The 26,428-nt window shown below is 36.9% G+C and overlaps 1 protein-coding gene across 7 annotated transcripts in view, besides 1 other annotated feature; it reads right to left on the bottom strand.

Annotated features, from left to right (window-relative positions):
• ZNF718 (zinc finger protein 718) overlaps nt 1-26,428 on the bottom strand; it is a 77,831-nt gene that overhangs the window by 32,964 nt on the left and 18,439 nt on the right. For 4 of the 7 annotated variants that reach the window (NM_001289930.2, NM_001039127.6, XM_017007980.3 and 1 more), the window contains exon 4: nt 5,181-8,431. The exons of 2 other annotated variants lie outside the window; for them this stretch is intronic. In NM_001289930.2, coding sequence (NP_001276859.1) covers nt 7,221-8,431 — 1,211 coding nt within the window. In that variant the 3' untranslated portion in view covers nt 5,181-7,220. Of the gene's footprint in view, nt 1-5,180; nt 8,432-26,428 lie in introns of those variants that run through there. One more of the 7 variants, NR_110529.1, reaches the window with a different exon arrangement.
• Nucleotides 17,120-17,979: an enhancer, noted in NCBI's record as "OCT4-NANOG-H3K27ac hESC enhancer chr4:145148-146002 (GRCh37/hg19 assembly coordinates)". NCBI's record gives its function as "activates a minimal SCP1, AML or CMV promoter by ChIP-STARR-seq in primed H9 embryonic stem cells {active_cell/tissue: H9 hESC(primed)}" and the evidence as "EXISTENCE:reporter gene assay evidence [ECO:0000049][PMID:30033119]".

The following is a 26,428-nucleotide window of genomic DNA, read 5'->3' as shown; positions in this document are numbered from 1 at the left end:
TCCACCCCAAATCAACAGAATATACATTCTTCTCAGCACCACACTGCACTTATTCCAAAATCGACCACATAGTTGGAAGTAAAGCACTCCTCAGCAAATGTAAAAGAACAGAAATTATAACACTGTCTCTCAGACCACAGTGCAATCAAACTAGAACTCAGGATTAAGAAACTTACTCAAAACCACTCAACTACATGGAAACTGAACAACCTGCTCCTGAATGACTACTGGGTACATAATGAAATGAAGGCAGAAATAAAGATGTTCTTTGAAACCAGTGAGAACAAAGACACAACATACCAGAATCTCTGGGACACATTCAAAGCAGTGTGTGGAGGGAAATTTATAGCACTAAATGCCCACAAGAGAAAGCAGGAAAGATCTAAAATTGACACCCTAACATCACAATTAAAAGAACTAGAGAACCAAGAGCAAACACATTCAAAAGCTAGCAGAAGGCAAGAAATAACTAAGATCAGAGCAGAATTGAAGGAGATAGAGACACAAAAAGCCCTTCAAAAAATCAATGAATCCAGGAGCTGGTTTTTTGAAAAGATCAACAAAATTGATAGACCACTAGCAAGACTAATAAAGAAGAAAAGAGAGAAGAATCAAATAGATGCAATAAAAAATGATAAAGGGGATATCACCACCGATCCCACAGAAATACAAACTACCATCAGAGAATACTATAAACAACTCTACGCAAATAAACTAGAAAATCTAGAAGAAATGGATAAATTCCTCAACACAGACACCCTCCCAAGACTAAACTAGGAAAAAGTTGAATATCTGAATAGACCAATAACAGGCTCTGAAATTGAGGCAATAATTAATAGCTTACCAACCAAAAAAAAGTCCAGCACCAGATGGATTCACAGCCGAACTCTACCAGAGGTACAAGGAGGATCTGGTACCATTCCTTCTGAAACTATTCCAATCAATAGAAAAAGAGGGAATCCTCCCTAACTAAATTTTATGAGGCCAGCATCATCCTGATACCAAAGCCTGGCAGAGACACAACAAAAAAAGAGAATTTTAGACCAATATCCCTGATGAACATCAATGTGAAAATCCTCAATAAAATACTGGCAAACCGAATCCAGCAGCACATCAAGAAGCTTATCCACCATGATCAAGTGGGCTTCATCCCTGGGATGCAAGGCTGTTTCAACATATGAAAATCAATAAACGTAATCCAGCATCTAAACAGAACCAATGACAAAAACCATATGATTATCTCAATAGATGCAGAAAAGGCCTTTGAAAACATTCAACAACCTTCATACTAAAAACTCTCAATAAATTAGGTATTGATGGGACATATCTTAAAATAATAAGAGCTATCTATGACAAACCCACAGCCAATATCATACAGAATGGGCAAAAAAGGGAAGCATTCCCTTTGAAAACTGGCACAAGACAGGGATGCCCTCTCTCACCACTCCGATTCAACACAGTATTGGAAGTTCTGGCCAGGGCAATCAGGCAGGAGAAAGAAATAAAGCATATTCAATTAGGAAAACAGGAGTAAAATTGTCCCTGTTTGCAGATGACAAGATTGTATATCAAGAAAACCCCATCGTCTCAGGCCCAAAATCTCCTTAAGCTGATAGGCAACTTCAGCAAAGTCTCAGGACACAAAATCAATGTGCAAAAATCCCAAGCGTTCTTATACACCAATAACAGACAAACAGAGAGCCAAATCATGAGTGAACTCCCATTCACAATTGCTTCAAAGAGAATAAAATACCTAGGAATCAAACTTACAAGGGATGTGAAGGACCTCTTCAAGGAGAACTACAAACCACTGCTCAATGAAATAAAACAGGATACAAACAAATGGAAGAACATTCCACGCTCATGGGTAGGAAGAATCAATATCATGAAAATGGCCATACTGCCCAAGGTAATTTATAGATTCAATGCCATCCCCATCAAGCTACCAATGACTTTTTTCACAGAATTGGAAAAAACTACTTTAAAGTTCATATGGAACCAAAAAAGAGCACACATTGCAAAGCAATCCTAAGCCAAAAGGACAAAGCTGGGGGCATCATACTACCTGGCTTCGAACTATACTACAAGGTTAGAGTAACCAAAACAGCATGGTACTGGTACCAAAACAGAGATATAGACCAATGGAACAGAACAGAGCCCTCAAAAATAATGCCACATATCTACAACCACCTGATCTTTGACAAACCTGACAAAAACGAGAAATGGGGAAAGGATTTCCTATTTAATAAATGGTGCTGGGAAAACTGGCTAGCCATATGTAGAAAGCTGAAACTGGATCCCTTCCTTACACCTTATACAAAAATTAATTCCCGATGGATTAAAGACTTAAATGTTAGCCTAAAACCATAAAAACCCTAGAAGAAAACCTAGGCAATACCATTCAGGACGCAGGCATGGGCAAGCACTTCATGTCTAAAACACCAAAGACAATGGCAACAAAAGCCAAAATTGACAAATGGGATCTAATTAAACTAAAGAGCTTCTGCACAGCAAAAGAAACTACCATCAGAGTGAACAGGCAACCTACAGAATGGGAGAAAATTTTTGCAATCTACCCATCTGACAAAGGACTAATATCCAGAATCTACAAAGAACTCAAACAAATTTACAAGAAAAAAAACAAACAGCCCCATCAAAAAGTGGGTGAAGGATATAAAAAGACACTTCTCAAAAGAAGACATTTAGGTAGCCAAGAGACACATGAAAAAATGCTCATCATCACTGGCCATCAGAGAAATGCAAATCAAAACCACAATGAGATACCACCTCACACCAGTTAGAATGGCGATCATTAAAAAGTCAGAAAACAACAGGTGCTGGAGAGGATGTGGAGAAATAGGAACACTTTTACACTGTTGGTGGGACTGTAAACTAGTTCAACCATTGTGGAAGTCAATGTGGCGATTCCTCAGGGATCTTGAACTAGAAATACCATTTGACCCAGCCATCCCATTACTGGGTATATACCCAAAGGATTATAAATCATGCTGCTATAAAGACACATGCACACATATGTTTATCGCAGCACTATTCACAATAGCAAAGACTTGGAACCAACCCAAATGTCCAACAGTGTAGACTGGATTAAGAAAATGTGGCACATATACACCATGGAATACTATGCAGCCATAAAAAATGATGAGTTCATGTCCTTTGTAGGGACATGGATGAAGCTGGAAACCATCATTCTCAGCAAACTATTGCAAGGACAAAAAACCAAACACTGCACGTTCTCACTCATAGGTGGGAATTGAACAGTGAGAACTCATGGACACAGGAAGGGGAACATCACACACTGGGGCCTGCTGTGGGGTTGGGGGAGGGATAGCATTAGGAGATATATCTAATATTAAATGACAAGTTAATGGGTGCAGCACACCAACATGGCACATGTGCACATGTATACATATGTAACTAACCTGCACGTTGTGCACATGCACCCTAAAACTTAAAAGTATAATAATAAAAAAAAAGAACGTAAAATATCTCACCTATCACTGTCTCCAAGAAATTTCCTTCTTTTGACACTGAGTCTCACTCTGTCACCCAGGCTGGAGTGCAGTGACGCCATCTCAGCTCACTGCAACCTCCACCTCCCGGGTTCAAGCAATTCTCCAGCCTCAGCCTCCCAAGTAGCTTAGATTACAGGCACCCACCATCACAACTGGCTAATTTTTGTATTTTTAGTAGAAACGGGGTTTTGCCATGTTGGCCAGGCTGGCCTCGAACTCCTGACCTCAGGTTATCCACCCACCTCAGCTTCCCAGAGTGCTGGGATTACAGGTGTGAGCCACTGTACCCGGCCTAGAAATTAATTTCTAAGACATTTTCTTCTAAGAGATTTCAAAATTTGGATGAGTTTCTTCATATGATGCTTACAATATGCAACCCACTCATATTGATGCTTTACCTATTCTAGCTTATGTTTCATTTAACATACTTTGTTTAGAATTTCATAAAATTTTTCTTTTACAGAGAAAAACAATGCTGACTGCCTTAATCCTTTTACATGTGAACAGTAAATGACTCTTAAGTAATCTAAATGTTGCATTGATAAGCTATAAATACCCTCAAACACCCCACTTAAAAACAGTAATTTACCACATTAAAACAAATCCAAACTTTTCATGAGAACCTAGAAAATCCATGTGAAATTACATGGCATGAAGAGAACAGTGAAAAAACTAACACAAATCAGGAGAAGGGCTGTGAGGTACACACAGCTGAGGATGAACACATAAAGACATCAAAAAACTGAAGATAATTAGAATATAAACACTGAAATCTTCTTTAAATTCAGAATGAGTCACTTTTACAGCCTGGGAACAGATGTCCTCTTAACATACAGAATTAATACCATTTCTTCACCACAGATATTTTCAATCTCTTACTTGGACCTACAAATAAACTCCAGAAAAATATTTATACCTAATTATGGAGCAGCTATTACACACCTATCACTTTCTTATGTTTGTTCACTGCAATTACATATCAAAACATCCTCATAAGTTATAAAGTGTTCCCAGTACTTACTTGAATTGGCCCAATAAATAAACTCAATTATGTTGATTATAAAAAGTGAAAGGAACAGTAACTAAACAGCTTATATATGGTTCCCCAATTAAACAAAATATTCTAACTAAATGTTACTTAACACACACATTGTGAACATCTTAAATTTATTTTGTGGGCTCTACTAAATTTTATAAAAATCATTCTTATAATTTCTGACCAGCTCACACAATAAATACTTAATGAAGTTAAAACAAAAAACTATGAGAAACAAGTGAATTATATCACTAGCATGAGTATAAGACAAAACAGATAATTTGCACAAGGAGATTCTCAACAATGATCCATTAGATTCTACAGCAATTAATTAAATACAAAGAATATAGTGTAGATTTGATTCCAGAATATTTTAGGTTTTTATGTTTCTAGTAAGTTATATATATTATTAAAAGAATATTTTTTGTCCCAATGTTGCTATTTTCTTTGGAAAATAGGTACAAATTTCCAAACACAATTGCTTGGTCTACAATTTTTTTACACCTAAGGTTTATCTTACAGCAATATGTTTATATATTTATCTCCATGTAAATCAAAACTAGAAGTCTGTACATGTTTGCCAGAAGAGATGCCAGATGTCCAAAGAAAAATATGGAACATTTAAAAACATATTTATTCAGGACACAGAAATGTCTAAATTATAATTATATTCTGATATAATTCTAAATACAATCATAAAATTACCTGTAATAAAAAATAATTTAATTGTACATTTAAAAATGAAGTGTATAATTGGATTGTTTGTAATACAAAGGATAAATGCTTGAGGTGATGAATAACTCATTTACTCTGATGTGATTACATGTTGCATGTCTGTATCAAAGTAACCCATCTATGCCATGAATGTATACACATACCATGTACCCACATAAATTTTTAAAAATAAATTTAAATATAAAAAATAATAAAAATTTAACATGAGAACAATATTCTTCAACTTATTTGCTGTTTAAAGCCACTGGAAAAAGAAATTACTAGAAATGTCATTAAACTATGTTACTAAAAGTATACTGTTACCATTTTTTACCTACACCCTTGAGTAAGGTTCACACACAATCTTAAAAGAGAATTTTAAAATTTACTGTATTTTATTACATAAATGTGCAACTGGTAAAAGCAATTTATTACTAAAATTCAAGATTTTTCTCTCACTATAATGCAGAAGAATATTACTCTGAACATGTACGTCATGCATCATGCAATGATAAGTCAACCACAAAGATGTATGCATCATCTCATGCATCTTTCAATGTCCTTACTCATTCATGTAAAAGTTCATGAATACGCCTGTAATCCCAGCACTTTGGGAGGCCGAGGCGGGCGGATCACGAGGTCAGGAGATCGAGACCATCCCGGCTAAAACGGTGAAACCCCGTCTCTACTAAAAATACAAAAAATTAGCCGGGCGTAGTGGCGGGCGCCTGTAGTCCCAGCTACTTGGGAGGCTGAGGCAGGAGAATGGCGTGAACCCAGGGGGAGGCAGAGCTTGCAGTGAGCCGAGATCCCGCCACTGCACTCCAGCCTGGGCGACAGAGCGAGACTCCGTCTCAAAAAAAAAAAAAAAGTTCATGAATGATGCCCACCTAAAAAGAATCACTCATACCTCTGATGCAACAATTCATCACATGCTTTCATATAAACAATAAGTTGAATCAGTATGAAGTAATTTTAGAGTTGAATTTGCTTTTCAAAAAATCTATAATTTTTTCAGGTAAAAAAAGTATAATTTCAATGGAATAATTTCAAAAAGCTACTCCTTTTCAACTTATATAGAAAGAAATTATCTAACAGTTTCAGCTTTGGAATTTTTTTATACTTTACACTCTGATATACTGTAATGTTTCAAGTGTTAATGCCTTTTTCTTTCTACTGTAAATATTCTGACATTTAGTCTTAATTTCAGACTATCTTTTCATACTTACCGCATCTACAAAATATCTTCTAGTATAAACTGGTTTTTTTTAAGCTATAGTTTTTGAACAAATGCTTTTCCAAATTTATTACATTTGTAAAATTTCTTTCCAATATAAATTCTCTAATGTCAAAGAAAGTTTGGGCAACTGCTTCAGGGTTTTCTTCTAGTATGAAATATGCACAATAAGACCCATGATGCAAGTACAGGTACTACAACCCTCTTACTATTTCTATTGTCTATCTTCAGAATACTCTTCTTCACTTTTAAGACCTGTATTTTCTAATAGGTCTTTCAACAAATACTACATTTATAATCCTTTTATTAAGTACAAACTCTCTGATATTTAGTAACACATGAGTAGGCATTAATGGCTTTTCTACATTTTCTATATTTGTACAATTTTTCTCAAGTATAAATGCTATCATGTGCAAAGAGATATGAGCATTGGTTAAAGGTTTTGCCACACTTTTAATATTCCTAGGGGTTTTCTGCAGTAAGAATTATATTCAGTAATATGTGACAAGCATTTGAAGGCTTTTCCACATTTTTCATATTTTTATGGCTTCTCACCAATACCATTTCTCTTATGTTTAGAACAGATTGAGTTGCGGTTAAAAGCTTTGTCAATTTTTTCATGTGTAGAGTTTCTCTCCAGTATGAATTATGATTAGAAAAGACTGAGGAAGACTTAAAGGCTCCCACATTCTTCACATTTCTAAAATTTTCCTCCAGTATGAGTTCTCTTATGTTGAGGAAGGTTGGAGTACTGCTTAAAAGCTTTCCCGCATTCTTTACATTTGTAGGGTTTATCTACAGTGTGAATTTTCTTATGTTTATTCAAGTGTGAGGACTGTTTAAAGGCTTTGCCACATTGTTTACATATGTAGGGTTTCTCTCCAGTATGAATTTTCTTATGATTATGCAGGTTTGCAAACACTTTAAAGGCTTTGCCACAATCTTCACATTTGTAGGGATTTTTTCCAGAGTGAATTCTCTTGTGTACATTAAGGGTTGAGGACCAATTAAAGGCTTTTCCACATTCTTCACATGTGTAGGGTTTCTCTCCAGTATGGATTCTCTTATGTGTCGTAAGAGTTGTGGACCTATTAAAGGATTTTCCACATTCTTCACATTTGTAGGGTTTCTCTCCTGTATGAATTCTCTTATGTTTAGCAAAGTCTGAGGATGTGGTAAAGACATTGCCACATTCTTCGCATGAGAAGGGTTTCTCTCCAGCATGAATTCTCTTATGTTCATTAAGGGATGAGGACCACTTAAAGGCTTTACCACATTCTTCACATTTGTAGTATTTTTGTGCAGAATGAATTCTCTTATGTAAATTAAGGGTTGAGGATTGGTTAAAAGCTTTACCACATTTTTCACATATGTAGGGTTTCTCTCCAGTATGAATTCTCTTATGTTTAGTAAGGTGTGAGGACCGAGTAAAGCCTTTACCACATTCTTCACACTTGTAGAATTTCTCTCTGGCATGAATTCTCTTATGTTTAGTAAGAATTGAGGACCAATTAAAGGCTTTGCCACATTCTTCACATGTGTAGGGGTTCTCTCCAGTATGAATTCTTTTGTGTTGAGTTAGGCGTGAGAGCACGTGAAATGATTTGCCACATTCTTTACATTTAAAGGTTTTATCTCCAGTATATCTTATCTTATCTTTGTTTGAATTTGAAAATTTATGAAAAACTTTGACACATATATTAGATTGAATTGTTTTTTTCTGGGTAGTTAATAAGCATTGGTTAATTCTATTATAACCACCTTTCTGCACCTTACACTCATTTATACTTTTACAAGTTTTTCTTAAATTCTCATGTCCACGTTTCTCATGTCCTTTTGGTATAAGTTTGTGGAATGAATCTTCTATGCCCTGCACTGTCCAAAGGTTTTGGGTGAAATGAGAACACACAGCTGAAAGAAATAAAAATAACAAATTATCCCACTTACTAGATTCATATAAATATACTTTACAGGCCAGGCACTATAGCTCAAGCCAGTAATTCCAGCAGTTTCCGAGGCCAAGGTGGGCAAATAATGAGGTAAGGAGTTCGAGACCAGCCTGGCCAACATGGTGAAACACTGTCTGTACTAAAAATACAAAAAAAATGTGCTGGGAATGATGGTGCATGCCTATAATCCCAGCTACTTGGGAGGCTGAGGCAGGAGAATCCCTTGAACCCGGGAGGTAGAGGCTTCCATCAGCCAAGATCACACCACTGCACTCCAGAAAAGGTGACAGTGTGAGACCCCATCTCAATAAATAAATAAACAAATAAGTAAATAAATATACTTTACAAATCTAATACAATTACAAATCTAATATATAAAATTATACAAAGTATATCAGTAAGATGCTCAGTAAATACCACAGGCCATAATTTCTTTACAGACATATATAACAAAAATATACTGACCAAAATGCCTTTGTGTGAAATCTATAAATGAGTTAATTATGTGCAATGCCTCAGGTAAGCACAATTCCAAGAGCCACATAAAACACGAAGTAAAGTATGTTACATTTACCCACTGCAGCTCTTCCTTCCCACAAATATAGCATTGTGCTTTAGGAGTAAACTGCCAACACCTGGCTTCTTAGAGGAAAAATAGTGACACACGCATTCCTACTTCTGGTTTTTGGAAATTATTACAAAAGCTGGTTTCTGTCTCCAATAATACAGGGTGCTGAAAGAAATGGTGGTGAGTCTGCTGAGACCAAAGGTAAATGTTTCATGAGCAGACAGCAGTGCTAAAAACAGGGAACAGGTAGAGCAAGTGATTAGAAACCATAAGAAGAAACATGAACAAACTCTTTTAACTGAAGAATAAACACAAAATTCTAGACAAGACACACCCTTACAACATGTATGAGAGGCTCCCATAATCTCTATCAAAGACAACTGGTTTCAGACTATGTGAGGACAAGGCAACATTGTAAAGATTGTGACAAATAGCTTTTAGTTCATGTTCAAATAACAATATTACAATGTAGGCAAAATACTAGGGCAACATGGCCCAATTAAAAAATTTGAAAATTTTCAGAAAACAACTATAAATAATGAAGATATTCAAAATTTAAAAGTTTAACCTGAATAATGCTCAATGAGTGAAATAGAAACATATACAATTTATAAAATCAGAAAAATAAGAATATCAATGAAAACATTAAAAATATAAAAAACAAGTCATGAAGGTGAAAAATACAACAATAATGACTGAGACATTTTCAAAAGTAAAAAAAGGATGTAAAAACTGAAGATGCTCCACAAGCTTCAACTAGGATACACACATAGAGATTTATAACAAGACACATACAAGCAAAGTTTCAAAAGTCAAAGACAAGAAGAGAATCTTAGGAGTTACAAGGTAAAAGTGATGTGTCATTTATAAATAAGTGTGGTCTTATAAGATAACCAGTGAATCTGTCAAAAAAAAAAAATTCCAGATGTCATGGAATTGTAATATAAAGTGGTGAAAGAAAAATAGCTTCGGCCAGGCACAGTGGCTCAGACCTGTAATCCCAACACTTTGGGAGGCCAAGGTGGGCAGATCACAAGGTCAGGAGTTCGAGACCATCCTTGCCAACATGGTGAAACCCTGTCTCTACTAAAAATACAAAAAAATTAGCCAGGTGTGGTGCACATGCCTGTAGTCCCAGCTACTCGGGAGGCTGAGGCAAAAGAATTGCTTGAACCCAGGAGGCAGAGGTTGCAGTGAGCCAAGATCGCGCCACTGCACTCTAGCCTGGGCGACAAAACAAGACTCCATCTCAAAAAAAAAAAAAAGAAAAAAGAAAAAAAGAATAGCTCCTAAGTGGGACTAATATAACCAGCAAAACTGTCCTAAAAATGAAGAAAAAGTAAAGACCTTGCAAGATAACCAAATGCTGAAAAAGTATATTAGCACTACATCTGCCTTGCAAAAAAAAAAAAAGGCTAAAGAAAGTATCTTTCACTGAAAATAACATAATGCAAGAAAACAAAACATAATCATATGAAAACATAATTTTCTAGGAAAGATATGCACATACAAAAATATAAAGTTCTATATCATTATCATGATAGCACAGAAAATATTTTATTCTCCAAAATGTGAAAGATAAAAGCAAACAAAAAAACCCCTTAATCATAAACTGTTAATATGCAAAATAAAAATATGATTAGTGACATCAATAATAAAGTTGAGGGCAGATATAATGAGGAAGAATTTCAACATGCAACTAAAGTTAAGTTCTTACCAGTTTAAAATATATTATTTTAAATTTAAGAAATTTTATGTAATTCCCAAGATATCAAATAAAAAAGGATCTGTAGAGATACTCAAAAAACAAGAAGTAAGGGCCTATCAATACAAAAATCAAAAAGACACAAAGACAGAAAATAAGGGACAAAGATAAAATTATCAAGTAAAACAATAAAATAATATTAGTAAGCCTTTCTGTCAGCAAATTATTTAAATATTTATGAAGTAAACTTTCCATTCAAAATACATGCACTGAATAAAAAAATTTTAACAATTAAAAAAACAAGATCCAACCTGCTTTTCTACAAGTCACTTAAAATCTAATGATTAAAGGAAGGAGACAAGGCAAGATGAAAAAAGACATTTCATGCAAATAACCAAATAAGAGGTCAAAATTATATTACACAAAGTGCATCTTAAGTGAAAAACTGTCCTATTTCATAAAATATGCCTTAACTAAAAGCTTATAAGAGACAAAGGACATTAAACAATAATGAAAGTGTTCATTTACTGGAAACCCATGACAAATGTGTGTATATATACATATTAATGTGTGTGTGTGTATCTCACATTAGGGTTTCAAATATATAAAGCAAATACTGACAGAAGTAAAGCCAAGATATACAAAGCAATATAATTATACTAGGATATTTTGATACCCCAATTTCTGTAATGAATAAAACAAAAAGACAATATTCATAAGGGAGCAGAAGACTTGAAAGCAGTATTAAAAAATTATGCCTAACAGAATTGTAGAAAACACTGCTCAATGACAGCAGAATACACACCCTTCTCAATAGCTCATACAAAAGTCTTCTTGATAAACCACCGGTTAGGCCACAAAAAGACCCTCAACAAATTTTTTTAAATTAAAATTTTACAGATTACTTTTTATGACCAAACTGGAAAGAGAGTAGAATAAAAAAACTGAAAATCTTACATAATTATAGAAAGCAAACAATATACTCTTTAGCATGCTCTTGTTCAATGTTTGAAATATTTAATATTATGAAGCCATCTGGACTGTTGAATGTAATAATCAGATTAAATGCAATCCCTGTCAAATTTCTAATCGAGTTTTTCCAGAAATAGAAACAGCAACCCCAAAATTAGATAAAATTTCGAGAGACAATGTAGCACCAAGCGATCTTCAATAAGAAAAACAACAAGGCCGGGTGCGGTGGCTCACACCTGTTAATACCAGCACTTTGAGAGGCCGAGGTGGGTGGATCACCTGAGGTTGGGAGCTCAAGACCAGCCTGACCAACATGGAGAAATCCCATCTCTACTAAAAACATACAAAATTAGCTGGGCATGGTGGCACATGCCTGTAATCCCAGCTACTGAGGAGGCTGAAGCAGGAGGATCACTTGAACCTGGGAGGCAGAGGTTGCAGTGAACTGAGATTGCACCATTGCACTCCAGCGTGGGCAACAAGTGTGGAACTGTCTGAAAAAAAAAAAAAAAAAAAAAAAAAAAAGAAAGAAAGAAAGAAACAAAAAGAAAAAAAGAAAAACAACAATGTTGGAGGCATCACAGCTCCTGATTTCAAAACACATACAAAGCTAAAAATTGAAACAATTTAGTATGAGTATAAGCGGAACAGCTAGATGGATAAGATTAAATCCAGCACAAACATAAACTCTCATATACATGGTCACATGAAGAGTAATTTGTACACTCATAATTATTGCAGCACTGTTACTGAAGCAAATAAACGAAAGTAATGCAAATGTCTCTCATCAGATGGATAAATATAATTTGAAATATTAATATTAGTTTTTTAGAAGCAAAAAATAATCTAATGAAATAAAAATAAATCTTAATGAAATTGTGCAACATGAAATAAGTCAGCCACAAAGAGACAGAAACTATATGAATCAACTTACATAAGCTATCTAAAACAGTCTGATTCTGAAATAGAAAGCAATTGTTTTTGCAAAGCGCCAGAAAACAGAAATACATGGTTTTTTAATGTGTAGAGTGATTTTAGCTTTGCAAGACACATTCTAGAGATACAATGCATAACAATGTCAATATAATATGACTGAGTATTAAAAATATTTAAGATTGTAAAGTCTGTTTTTTTTGACAATTAAAAATAGTAATATCTAGAAGAGATACAGAGGTATGATGGCTTTTGAAATTATCTTCTAATCACAAAAGTGCTCTCCCACACATAAAAATATAGATTCACAAATAAATAGAGGGTAAAATTAGAAGTATTTCAATGACAACTCACCTAGACAGGGTAAAATGATCATTGTATACACACAAACAGAGCAAGTATACAACTTATAAACAATGCAGGAACAATACAAATACAGATAAACACAGAGACTTATATTGGAAATAGACATATCACTGATGCATATTTGACTTGTGCTCCACACTGTCTGTATTAGTCCATTTTCATACTGCTGATAAACATACCCAAAGATGGGGTAATTTATAAGAAAAAAAGGTTTAATGGACTCACATGTGGCTGGGGTGGCCTCAAAATCATTGTGGGAGGTACAAAGTGAAAGGCACATCTTACATGGTGGTAGACGAAAGAGAATAAGAACCAAACAAATGGGGAAACCTCTTATAAAAACCATCAGGTCTCATGAGTCATTCACTACTGTAAAAACAGTATGGGAAAAACCACTGCCCTGATTCAATTATCTCCCACTGGGTCCCTCCCACAACACATGGGAATTATGGGAGCTATAATTCAAAATGAGATTTGGCTGAAGACACAGCCAAACCCTATCATTCCACCCCTGGTTCTTCCCAAATCTCATGTCCTCACATTTCAAAACAAATTATGCCTTCCCAACAGTCCCCCAAAGTCTTAACTCATTTCAGGTTGAACTCACAAGTCCACAGTCAAGTCTCATTGAGAGAAAGTAAGTCCCTTCCACCTATGAGCCTGTAAAATCAAAAGCAAGTTAGTTATTTCCTAGACACAATGGGGGTGCAGGCATTGGGTAAATACACCCATACCAAGTAAGAGAAATTGGCCAAAACAAGGAAGTTAGAGGCCCCATGCAAGGCCAAAATTCAGCAAGGCAGTCAAATCTTAAAGCTCCAAAATGATGTCCTTTGACTCCATGTCTCACACCCAGGTCACATTGATGCAAGAAATAGGTTCCCATGATCTTGAGCAGCTCCACCCCTGTGGCTTTGCAGGGTACAGTCAGTCTCCTGGCTGCTTTCATGGGCTGGTGTTGAGTGTCTGTGGATTTTACAGGTGCATGGTGCGAGCTATCAGTGGATCTATCATTCTGGGGCCTGGAGGACAGTGGCCTGCTTCTCACAGCTCCACTAGGCAGTGCCCCAGTGGGGACTCTGTGTGGGGGCTCCAACCCCACATTTCCCTTCTGCACTGCCCTAGCAGAGGTTCTCCATGAGGGCCACACCCCTGCAGCAAACTTGACAGTCAGGCATTTGTATACATATTCTGAAATGTAGGCAGAGGTTTCCAAACCTCGCTTTTGACTTCTGTGTACCTGCAGGCTCAAGATCACATGGAACCTACCAAGGCTTGGGGCTTGGACCCTCTGAAGCCAAGGCCTAAGCTGTACCTTGACCCTGTTTAGCTATGGGTAGAGTAGCTGGGACACAGGGCACCAACGCCCTAGGAAGGGGGGCCTAGGCCCAACCCATAAAATTATTTCCCTCTTAGGCCTCTGGGCCTGTGATGGGAGAAGCTATCACAAAGTTCTCTGAAATGCCCTAGAGACATTTTTCCCAGTGTCTTAGTGATTAACATTTGGCTCCTCATTACTTATGCGAATTTCTGCAGTGAGCTTGAATTTCCCTTCAGAAAATGGGTTTTTCTTGTCTATCACATCATCAGGCTGTAGAATTTCTGAACTTTCATGCTGTTTCCCTTTTAAAACTGAATGCTTTTAACAGCACCCAAGTCACCTCATGAATGCTTTATGGGTTAGGAATTTCTTCTACCAGATACCCTAAGTCATTTCCCTCAAGTTCAAAGTTCCACAGATCTCTAGTGCAGGAGCAGAATGCCACCAGTCTTTCTGCTAAAACATGGCAAGAGACACCTTTACTGCATTTCCCAAGTTCCTCATCTCCACCTGAGAGCACCTTGGACTGGATTTCATTGTCCATATCATTATTAGCACTTTGGTCAAAGCCATACAACACATCTCCAGGAAGTTCCAAACTTTCCCACATTTTCCTGTCTCCTTCTCAGCCCTCCAAGCTGTTCCAACCTCTGCCTGTTACCCAGTTCCAGAGTCACTTCCACATTTTCAGGTGCAGTTCCCAACTCTACTGGTACCAATTTACTGCAGAAGTCCATTTTCACACTGCTGATAAAGACATACCTGAGATTGGATAATCTATAAAGAAAAAGAGGTTTAATGGACTCACAGTTCCATGTGGCTGGGGAGGCCTCAAAATCATGGCAGAAGCCAAAAGTCATGTCATATATGGCAGGAGGCAAGACAGAATGAGAGCCAAACAAAAGGGGAAACCTTATAAAATTATCAGATCTCCTGAGACTTATTCACCACCATGAGAACAGTATGGGGGAAACTGCCCCCATGACTTAATTATCTCCCACAACACATGGGAATTATGAAAGCCATAATTCAAGATGAGATTTGGGTGGGGACACAATCAAACCATATCACTGTCTTATAGTGTACACAGTTGAATATTGTCATACACAATTATAATATCAAATAACATCCTTGTCTTGTCCCAAATTTCAAATAAAACATTTTCTGCTTTTTTTGTTCTGTTCAGTATATAGATTTGTCAGTATATAGATTTCTGTTCAGTATACAGATTTGTTCAGCCATAGATTTGTCAAATGTGGCCCTTCTTGTGTTGAGCTACATACCATCTATACCTAATTTGTTGAGTTTCTTAAATCACAAATGCATGTTGAATTTTGCCAAATGCTGCTTCTGCATCCTCAATAAAAAAGAGATGTCTAGCAGCAAACTTCATTAAAAAGCTGAACACTCTACACTGAAAATTATAAATCATTGATAAAAATATGAAAAACTGAAAGATTTTTATGCTCATGAATTGAAAAATTATTATGAAAGTTGCTATACTACCCAAGGTGATCTACAGATTCAATGCAATCTCTATCATAATATCAATGACTTTTTTCACAGAAATGGAAAAAACAAGCTTAAACGTTATAGGGAACTACCAAAGACCCCCAAATAGCCAAAGAAATCCTGAGCAAAAAGAATAAAGCTGGAGACATCACACTACCTGACTCCATAATATAATATAAAGCTACAATAAGCAAAGGAGCATGATTCTGGCATAAAAATAGACAGATGACAGTATCCAGTGAGCCCAGTAATAAATCCATGAACCTAGAGCCAAGGGATTTTAAACAAAGATGTCTAGAACACACATTGGAGAAAGAGAGTCTTTTCAATAAATAGTGCAAGGAAAACTGAGTATCTACATGATAATCAAAAAAAGTAAAAAATAAACCTAGGCCCCTACCTCTTTTGATATAAAAAACTCAATCACAAATAAAGATTTATATGTTTGGGAAACCCAAACATATAAAGCTATTTGAAATAAACATAGAGAAATGTTTTACCACATATTACAGAGAAAAAAATGTTTAAGACCTCAAAGTACATGTAAAAATCTGCAAACGTGACTACAAAAAACTAAAAATGTTTTGCATAGCAAAAAAATCCCAACAGAGTGAAGAGATAATCTACAGAATGAAAGAAAATATTTGCGAAGTATACTTATGACAAAAGATAAACTTACAGAATATATAACAAACTTAAAACAAAAATAACAATTTAAAAACCACAATAAAATATCACATCACAGCCAGGCACGGTGGCTCATGCCTGTAATCCCAGCACTTTGGTTTGTGGGGAAAAGCAAGAGAGATCAGATTGTTACTGTGTCTGTGTAGAAAGAAGTAGACATAGGAGACTCCATTTTGTTATGTACTAAGAAAAATTCTTCTGCCTTGAGATTTTGTTAATCTATAACCTTACCCCCAACCCCGTGCTCTCTGAAACATGTGCTGTGTCAACTCAGAGTTGAATGGATTAAGGGCGGTGCAAGATGTGCTTTGTTAAACAGATGCTTGAAGGCAGCATGCTCCTTAAGAGTCATCACCACTCCCTAATCTCAAGTACCCAGGGACACAAAAACTGCGGAAGGCCGCAGGGACCTCTGCCTAGGAAAGCCAGGTATTGTCCAAGGTTTCTCCCCATGTGATAGTCTGAAATATGGCCTCGTGGGAAGGGAAAGACCTGACCGTCCCCCAGCCCGACACCCGTAAAGGGTCTGTGCTGAGGAGGATTAGTAAAAGAGGAAGGAATGGCTCTTGCAGTTGAGACAAGAGGAAGGCATCTGTCTCCTGCCTGTCCCTGGGCAATGGAATGTCTCGGTATAAAACCCGATTGTATGCTCCATCTACTGAGATAGGGAAAAACCGCCTTAAGGCTGGAGGTGGGACCTGCGGGCAGCAATACTGCTTTGTAAAGCATTGAGATGTTTATGTGTATGCATATCTAAAAGCACAGCACTTAATCCTTTACATTGTCTATGATGCAAAGACCTTTGTTCACGTGTTTGTCTGCTGACCCTCTCCCCACAATTGTCTTGTGACCCTGACACATCCCCCTCTTTGAGAAACACCCACGGATGATCAATAAATACTAAGGGAACTCAGAGGCTGGCGGGATCCTCCATATGCTGAACGCTGGTTCCCCGGGTCCCCTTATTTCTTTCTCTATACTTTGTCTCTGTGTCTTTTTCTTTTCCAAATCTCTCGTCCCACCTTACGAGAAACACCCACAGGTGTGTAGGGGCAACCCACCCCTACATTGGTTGGTTGAGGTGGGTGGATTACCTGAGGTTAGGAGTTCAAGACCAGACTGGCCAACATGGTGAAACCTCATCTCTACTAAAAAGGCAAAATGAGTACGGCATGATGGTGGGCACCTGTAGTCCCAGCTACTTGCGAGGCTGAGGCAGGAAAATCACTTGAACCTGGGAGGCGGAGGTTGTAGTGAGCCAAGATCATGCCACTGCACTCCAGCCTGGGCAATCAGAGCAAAACTCTGTCTCAAAAAAACAAAACAAAACAAAACAAAACAAAACAAAAAAACATTACTCCAGTGAGAATGACTGTTATTGAAAAGACTGTAATTGAAAAGACTGCCTGGGCTTGGTGGCTCATGCCTGTAATCCTAGCACTTTGGGAGGCCAAACTGGGCAGACTGCCTGAGCTCAGGAGTTTGAGACCAGCCTGGGCAACACGGTGAAACCCCGTCTCTACTAAAATACAAAAAAAAATTAGCTGGGCATGGCAGTATGCACCTGTAGTCCCAGCTACTTGGGAGGCTGAGGCAGGAGAACTGCCTGAACCCGGGAGGCAGAAGTTGCAGGGAGCTGAGATCACACCACTACACTCCAGCCTGGGTGACAGAGTAAGACTCCATCTCAAAAATAAATAAATTAATTAATTAAAAAATAAGACTAACAATTGTTAGTGAGACTGTATAGAAAAGAAAACAAATACAGTTGTAAAATTGTAAGTTAGTAGAGCCATTATAGGAAAAAAAGTATCACAGGATAACATATTTAAACAATCAATATATGGTAATTTAGACTGTTTCTTTGACTCATCACCTAGACAATAAAATGTTGATGACTACACACACACACACACACACAAAATTCAAATTGTTGGGTCATATGTTAGTTCTATTTTTTAATTAAACAGGACTGCTGAAGCATGTTAGTTCTATTTTTAATTTTTAAATTAAACACTATTGCTGGAGCATATAAAAGTTCTACTTTCTTTGTAGCTAAAAAAAACAAAATCAGTATGTCAAAGAGACATCTACACTCCTATGTTTATTATAGTACTATTTATAATAGCCAATATATGGAATCAATCCAATTATTGAAAGCCAGATGATAAAGAAAATCTAGTACAGATACACAACAAAATACTATTCAGTTATAAAAGACAACAAAAATTTGATATTTGCAAGGACACGGATGAACCTGGAGGCCGTTACATTAAGTGAAATAAACCAGATCCACCAAGACAAGTACCAGATGATCTTACACATATATGAAATCTAACAATAAATGATAAGGCTTCATGCACTGGTCTTGGCAATCATTTTTGGATATAACACCTAAGGCTCAGGAAACAAAAACATGAAAATACACATGGTACTACATCATCGTATCCAAAATATCCCAAGAATATTCAAAGCAGGACTTTAAATAGATATTTACACATGCATGTTCATTTATTATTATTTACAAAAGACAATTCCTGGAAACAACACAAATGTCCCTTTACAGATCAGTATCGGATTTTTAAAATGTGACATATATATAGAATATTATTTCATTTTAAAACAGATATTCTGACATATCTTACAAAAACAAAGCCTGAGAACATTACATTAAATTAGATAGTCAAACAGAAACAGACATTAATGACACTAATAAGAATATAAAAATTAGTCAAAATTATAAAAACAGTAAGTCAAATGGTGTTCTTCAGGAGCTGAAGAAAAAAAGGGGGGCAGTTTATTTTTTATTGGGTATTGTATTTTACAAGATAAAATAAATCTAGACACCCATTGCAATATAATGTAAATATACTTAACATCACTAGACCGTACAATTGAAAATGTTTAAGAAGGCAATTTTATTTTTTTATAACTATTATTTACACCTACTTAAAAAGGTTACATTCCTCAGAAATTACCTGCAAATTGCAAAAGTGTTTGTCTCACAGAATAATATGTAATAAGACAATAAACAGATGGTAACTTTACACTGTTTTTTGACTACTCACCTACACAAGAAAACACTGATGACCACCAAAGAAAATAAATAATTTATAATCAAAGGAGGGGCACTATTTATACAGGCAAATACCACCTAACTTTTATAGGCAATAAAAATGTCTGATTTATAAATGTATTTTAAATTGCCTCAAGTGAAACCCAATTATTTTTATTTGAATTAAACACCACTTGATCATTAAAGGTATAGATTTGAAAATTACCAAATATGAAGATTAGAAGTGAAAAAAATTAAATAATCAAGGAGTATCTACATGAAAAAAGATTGCCCAGTAAAATGGAGTTGAATACAATAAAAATTCTAACCCACAAAATATTAAATATATACAGATGTACCATAAAAACAATCCTTTAAATAACTACAGTTTTTAACTGTGACTATGTTCTTATTGAAGAGCCGGGATTTTGAATCTTTGGCATGAAATGTAAAGCAGTAAAAGAAAATGCATCTCAATAATTAATAAAATGCTCTAATGAAAATGAGCCATGTCAATACATGTACTTATTACACAATGTGTAAACTTGGGCATTTTATTTCAGAAATTTTGAATTTGAAATCAGATAATTTGGCATAGAACATATCAGAAAGTGAAACATACAAGGGGAGTGACATAGCAAGATGGCAGAATAGGAGGTTCTCTACCCACAACTTCTAGTTATGAAAATACAGCAGTTATGCCCTGACAAAAGAACCTTTATGAAAACTTAGAAATCCATGTAAAAGATTGTGAATCCAAGACTGAGGAGGGCTGTATTAAGAGGGCATGCACTTGCTTGAGTGGCATGCTTGCCCATCATAGTCCCAGCTACCGAATGAAATATGAATAATTCTCACTGTAAACATAGCTATAGATCATTTGGTTTTGTTCCTGCCACTATCACCATCTGCCAAGACACTTAGGAGAATTCATAATGTCCTGTGTCTCAGGTGAAAGGCCTTGACATGTTGGTCCTGCCTGTGATCTATAAATTAGCCCAAAACCCACCCCTTTCCCTGATCAGTCATAGTGTGGAAGAAATCCTGCACACACAGAGACCCACAGAAACATCCATCTGTGCCCCTGGATGTAGGCCTGCCAATATTTATTCAATGGTGGATTTTTTTTTTTTTTTTTTTTTTTGAGACAGAGTCTCACTCTGTCACCTTGGCTGCAGAGTGCAATGGCGTGATATTTGCTCACTGCAACCTCCAGCTCCCAGGTTCAAGCAATTCTGCTGCCTCAGTCTCCTGAGTAAGCGGGATTACAGATGCCCGCCACCATGCCCAGCAAATTTTTGTATTTTTAGTAGAGATGGGATTTGGCCAATTTGGCCAGGCTGGTCTCGAACTCCTGACCTCAGGTGGTCCGCCCACCTTGGCCTCCCGAAGTGCAGGGATTACAGATGTGAGTCACTGCACCTGGCCCTGATGGTGGATTTTGATGTGGCACTATAACCTGGCTCCGAGTCCATGCAACCAAAGTCCAGGGGCAGTTTTTCCTAGCCTGAAACCTGCCAAAAAGCACACCTATAGGCATGCTGGCTGACTTTATTCCCACTATGAATCTTGAAGTAGCCCTGTAACCAGCGCCATTCCCTGTCCGCTAGAGTCTGGGAGCAGTCCTGCCCGCCCAGAAATCTGAAGGCATAAATGCCGTGAACCCAGAAACAGAGCTGAAGTCTTAGCTGTGTATCCTGAAGCAGCCCTATGAATCAGTTCCACACCTTTTCAGCTGTGATCAAGGACCAACCCTGCTCTTCCAGGAACCTGTCCAATGACTGGATTAGAGCATTTCCAAAAACCAGCAAAAGCCTCACAGGAGTCACACCAGATAACATTACTGTATCAGCACCCCCAGATATAATTGGAGGGTTTTTTTTCCTGGAGATGGAATCTCGCTCTGTCGCCCAGGCTGGATGGAGTGCAGTGGTGTGATCTCAGCTCCGTGCAACCTCCACCTCCCGGGTTCAAGCAATTCTCCTGCCTCAGCCTCCCAAGTAGCTGGGGCTACAGGCGCACACTGCCACGACTGGCTAATTTTTTGTATTTTAGTAGAGACGGGGTTTCACCATGTTGCCCAGGCTGGTCTCGAACTCCTGAGCTGAGGCAATTCACCTGCCTTGGCCTCCCAAAGTGCTGGGATTTTTTTTTTCTGAGCACTAGTCATATTGATCAACATCTTGAAGAAAGTTTGGTGTTCTCAGAAAACAGACGAAACCACAACTGTCTGATGCCCTGATTACAGGTCTGCCAAGCATGAACTTCATGGCAGGCCCGGTAGTAGTTACATGACCTGGCTCCAATGCACTTAACTGCAATATCAGCAGAAATCGCATCAGTCCAGAGATCCAACAGAAGAAGATATTTACCTCCCCAAACTAGTTTATAGTAACTGAAAGAGGCATTTGCTTCTTCAGACGCAAGGACATCCTTAATGGATCATGAAGGATCAGGCAAATATAACACCACCAAAGGAAACTAAAAATGCTCCAGTAACCACTTACAATAAAACACAGATCTAAAAAATGACTAACAGAGAATTCAAGATAATCTTCAAGCATCTCACCAGTCTGACCAACATGGTGAAAGCCTCTTTCTACTAAAAATACAAGAATTAGCCAGGTGTGGTGGTGCACACCTGTAGTCACAGCTAATTGGGAGGCTGAGGCAAAAGAATCGCTTGAATCTGGAGTGTGAAGGTTGCAGTGAGTCAAGATCACCCCACTGCACTCTAGCCTGAGCAACAGAGTGAGACTCTGTCTCAAGAAAAATAAAAAATAAAAATAAAAACTCAGTAAGATGCAAAAGTACACAGATTACTAAATTTTTTTGCAACAATGCATGAACAAAATCACAATACAGAAAAAGAAACCATTAAAAAAGAACCAAATAGATATGCTGGAGTCAAAGTAAAAATAGTAGAACTGAAAAATTTAAGAGAAAGCTTTAACAGGAGACTCAGCTATATAAAAAAAAAACACCCCAGCAAACGTAAGTCATTTGAAAGTTTCTAATTAGAAATTTTTTAAAAATGAAAGTGTGAATAAAGAATTTGGAACCCATGCTATATGATAAACCATAAAAAGGTACATATTTTAGGAGGTTCAAAAGAGAGAAAACTTTTTTTTATTGTTTAAAGATATAATGTGTTAAAATTTTCCCAATCTTGGAAGAAATACAGACATTCAGTTTTATGAGGCTCAAAATATCAGTAGCAAGAAGAACTTGATAAAAAACTTGCCCAGGACACAATTATAATTAAACTGCCAAAAATTCAAAGACAATGGGAGATTCTTAAAAGAAGCAAGAAAAAGAGATTCTTCTCATATAAGGGAACATCTATAAGGTTATCAGTAAATTGCTCAGCAGAAACCATGCAAGCCACACAGAAGTGAGACCGTATATTTAAAGTGCAAATGAACAGAGAAAAAGAAAAAACGTTGACAAATAAGGAGACTATACCTGACAAAACTGTCCTTTACAAATGAAGTATCAATCAAGATATTCTCAGATTAAAAAATAAGTTGAGGGAATTTATAATCACTAGACCTGTCTTACAAAAAAATGTTAATGAGAATTTTTCAAGTTATAAGGATGGAATCCTAACTTACAGCAAGAAAACATATAAAAGTATAAATCTTACTGGAAAACATATATATATATATATATATATAGAAGGCTATATCACTAATTATGGTGCATAAATCACTTTTAACTCTGATATAAGTTACAAAAAAAGCATTAAAACACATATAGCTTCAGTATATTTGTTAACAGGTACACAATATTAAAAAAAAGTAAAGGGTGACATAAATAGTGTGTTAAAGGAAGTAAAATTGTTTAATTTTTCTATACATAGAAGGTAACTTTTGCTTGAGGCCTGGAGTTCAAAACCAGCCTGGTCAATATAGCGGGACTCTGTCTCTAAAATAAATACATGAATAAAATAAAATAAAGATCTCACAAAGCTGTTTGGTTTTTTTAAAAAAAGAAGCACTGGGTGTGATGTCTCATGCATGTAATCCTAGCACTTGGAGAGGCCAAGGCAGGTGGAGTGCTTGAACCCAGGAGTTCAAGACCAGCCTGAGCAACATGGCAAAACCCTGCCTCTATATAAAGTACAAAAAAAAGTAGACAGACTTGTGCTTGTAGTCCCAGCTACTCAGGAGGGTAAGGTGGGAAGATTGCTTGAGCCTGGGGAGGTCGAGGCTGCACTAAGCTGTGAATGTACTGCACTTCAGCCTGAGTAACAAAGGAAGACCCTATCTGTACAAAAAAAGAAGTTACATTGTTATCTCAAGCTAGACTTTTATAACTATGAGATGTTTTATGTAAGTCTCTTGGAAATTAAAATAAAAATGGCAGTAGATACAAAAGAAAAAGAATCAAAGCATATAAGAAAAACAAAACAAAAATTCAAGAAAACGCAAGGGAAGAAAGCATGAAAGAATTAAAACACAGAAACTACTAACTGGTCAGAAAACAATGAACAAAATGGCAGTAATAAGTTCTCATCAATAATTCCTCTAAATAGAAAAACATTTACTTATCCAGTGAAAACATATTGCTATTGTTTGAGTGTCCCTCCAAAATTTATGTTAATATTTAACTGCCACTGTGAGAAAATGAAGTGAGCCCCTTAAGAAGCTATTAGGTTATGAGAGCTCTACTCTCATGAAAGGGTTAGTATCATTATTCCCACACTGGGAATTAGTGGTTCGAAGATGAAAAAGAATATTCCATGCCAATAACTAAAAAAGTGTACGAGTGGCTATATCAAACAAAAGAGACATATAGAAAAAAAAAATCTGTCACAAAAAAAACTTTGCATATGATGGGGTCTTATATTTGAAAAAACCTACTTCACTAAAACACCATTAGAACTCATACATTTAGTCAAGATACAGGATTAAAAAATTAGTGTTTCTACATGCCAACAGTGAACAATGTGAAAATCAAACCAAGAGAGTAATTCCATTTACGGTAGCCACAAATTAAAATTAAATACCAGGAATGAACTTAACCAAAGAAGTGAAAGATCTCTATGATGAATACTATAAAACATCGATGCAAGAAATTAAACAAGAGAAAAAAAAGGAAAGATATTTTATGTTCATGAATAGGAAGGATCAGTATTATTAAAATTTTCATACTACCCAAAATGATCTACAGATTTAATGCAATTCCTATCAAAGCATCAATGACATTCTTCACAGAAATAGGAAAAACAATCTTATAATGTAGACAGACCCATAAAAGACTCAAAATAGCCAAAGCCATTGTACCAGAAAAGAAACTGGAGGAATCATAGTATTTGAATTTAAATGATACAACAGAGCTACCGTAATTAAAATGGCATAAAACTGATCAGTAAAACAGTAGAGCGAATGCAGAGATAAATCCATATTACAGCAAACTTCTTTTTGACAAAGCTGTCAGGAATATATTGTTACCGCTAGAAAGTATCCGGGTTCTTGGCATCTTGAACAAAGAATTGGACAAAATACACAAAGCAAGGAAGGAATAAAAGGATTTACTAAAAATGAAAGTACACTCCACAGTGCGGGCCCGAGCATAGGGGCTCGAAGGCCCCCTTACAGAATTTTTGGGAGCTTAAATACCACCTAGAGTATTCCATTGGTTACTTTGGGTATGCCCAACGTAAATGGAGAGGGTGAAGTAAATTTAGTTATTAACGGTGGATGCCCTATGGAGAGGATATTTCCTGTTATAGCTGAAGTGTGAATTGGGCTTATGGTCCCTGCCTCCAGACCGTTTTCCTGCCTCATGTCCCCCGAGAGATGTGATCCCCATAAATCCTTATAGGAGACGGGGGGGTCAACGGTCTTTTTCTTTCTGTAACTGCTTTATGCTGGCTTGGGGCATAGTCCCTGTCTATTGGGGATCACAGTACTCTCGCCCTGTTCTGTCTAGTGGAGGCAGGGTAGTTTCTTGATGGCCAGGGGTGTGTTTTCACCTGGAACTGGCTGGAGATTTCACTGCATGATCAGTGAAGCTTGATGGTCTCTAGGCAAGAGCAAACGTGTTTGGTTAAAAGATATAATGGGGGTGGATACCTATGCTGTTAAGAATGTTTGTTACAGAGATTTGCAGGAGAAAAAAAACCTGATTTGTTCTAGAATTTATGTGTTTCCTTAAAGTCTTGGCACAAGCAACTCCATTTTGTTTTGGTCTGTTGGTGCCTAGTGTATGAGCTTAGTCCAAAACAATGGCATCCCAGAATTTTGTTTAAAAACTTCCCCCTTGGCCGTGCACACTGGCTCACGCCTGTAATCCTAGCACTTTGGGAGGCTAAGGCAGGTGGATCACAAGGTCAGGAGTTCAAGATCAGCCTGGACAAAATGGTGAAACCCCGTCTCTACTAAAAATAGAAAAATTAGCCAGGCGTGGTGGTAGGCACTAATCCCAGCTACTTGGGAGGCTGAGGCAAAGAATTGCTTGAACCTGGGAGGCAGAGGTTGCAGTGAGCCAAGATTACACCACTGCACTCCAGTCTGGGTGACAGAGACTCCGTCTCAAACAAAACAAAACGAAATTCCCCCTTTTTGGTTAGGTTCTCACTTAGATTAGTGTGTGTCCAAAATTTAGGGCCTTAGAGCCACTCTCAGTTACCATCATTTTGGATTTCTGGTCTCAGCACATTATTTATAGGTTACGGTGTTCTCATGGTTGCACGTTTCTTTTAGCTTCTGTTATTCTAGTTGAAGAGAGACCATATGACATCCTAGAGATGGCTGCATGCAAGCATTTAAAACCTTTGAGAGAATACAGCACACAAGGGAGACTATTATTATGACTATTGGGAGGAAAATACCA

The sequence above is a fragment of the Homo sapiens genome, chromosome 4 (assembly GCF_000001405.40).
Source record: "Homo sapiens chromosome 4, GRCh38.p14 Primary Assembly".
In the NCBI taxonomy this organism is placed as follows: Eukaryota; Metazoa; Chordata; class Mammalia; order Primates; family Hominidae; genus Homo; species Homo sapiens.
This window is presented reverse-complemented; position numbering and strand designations above follow the sequence as displayed.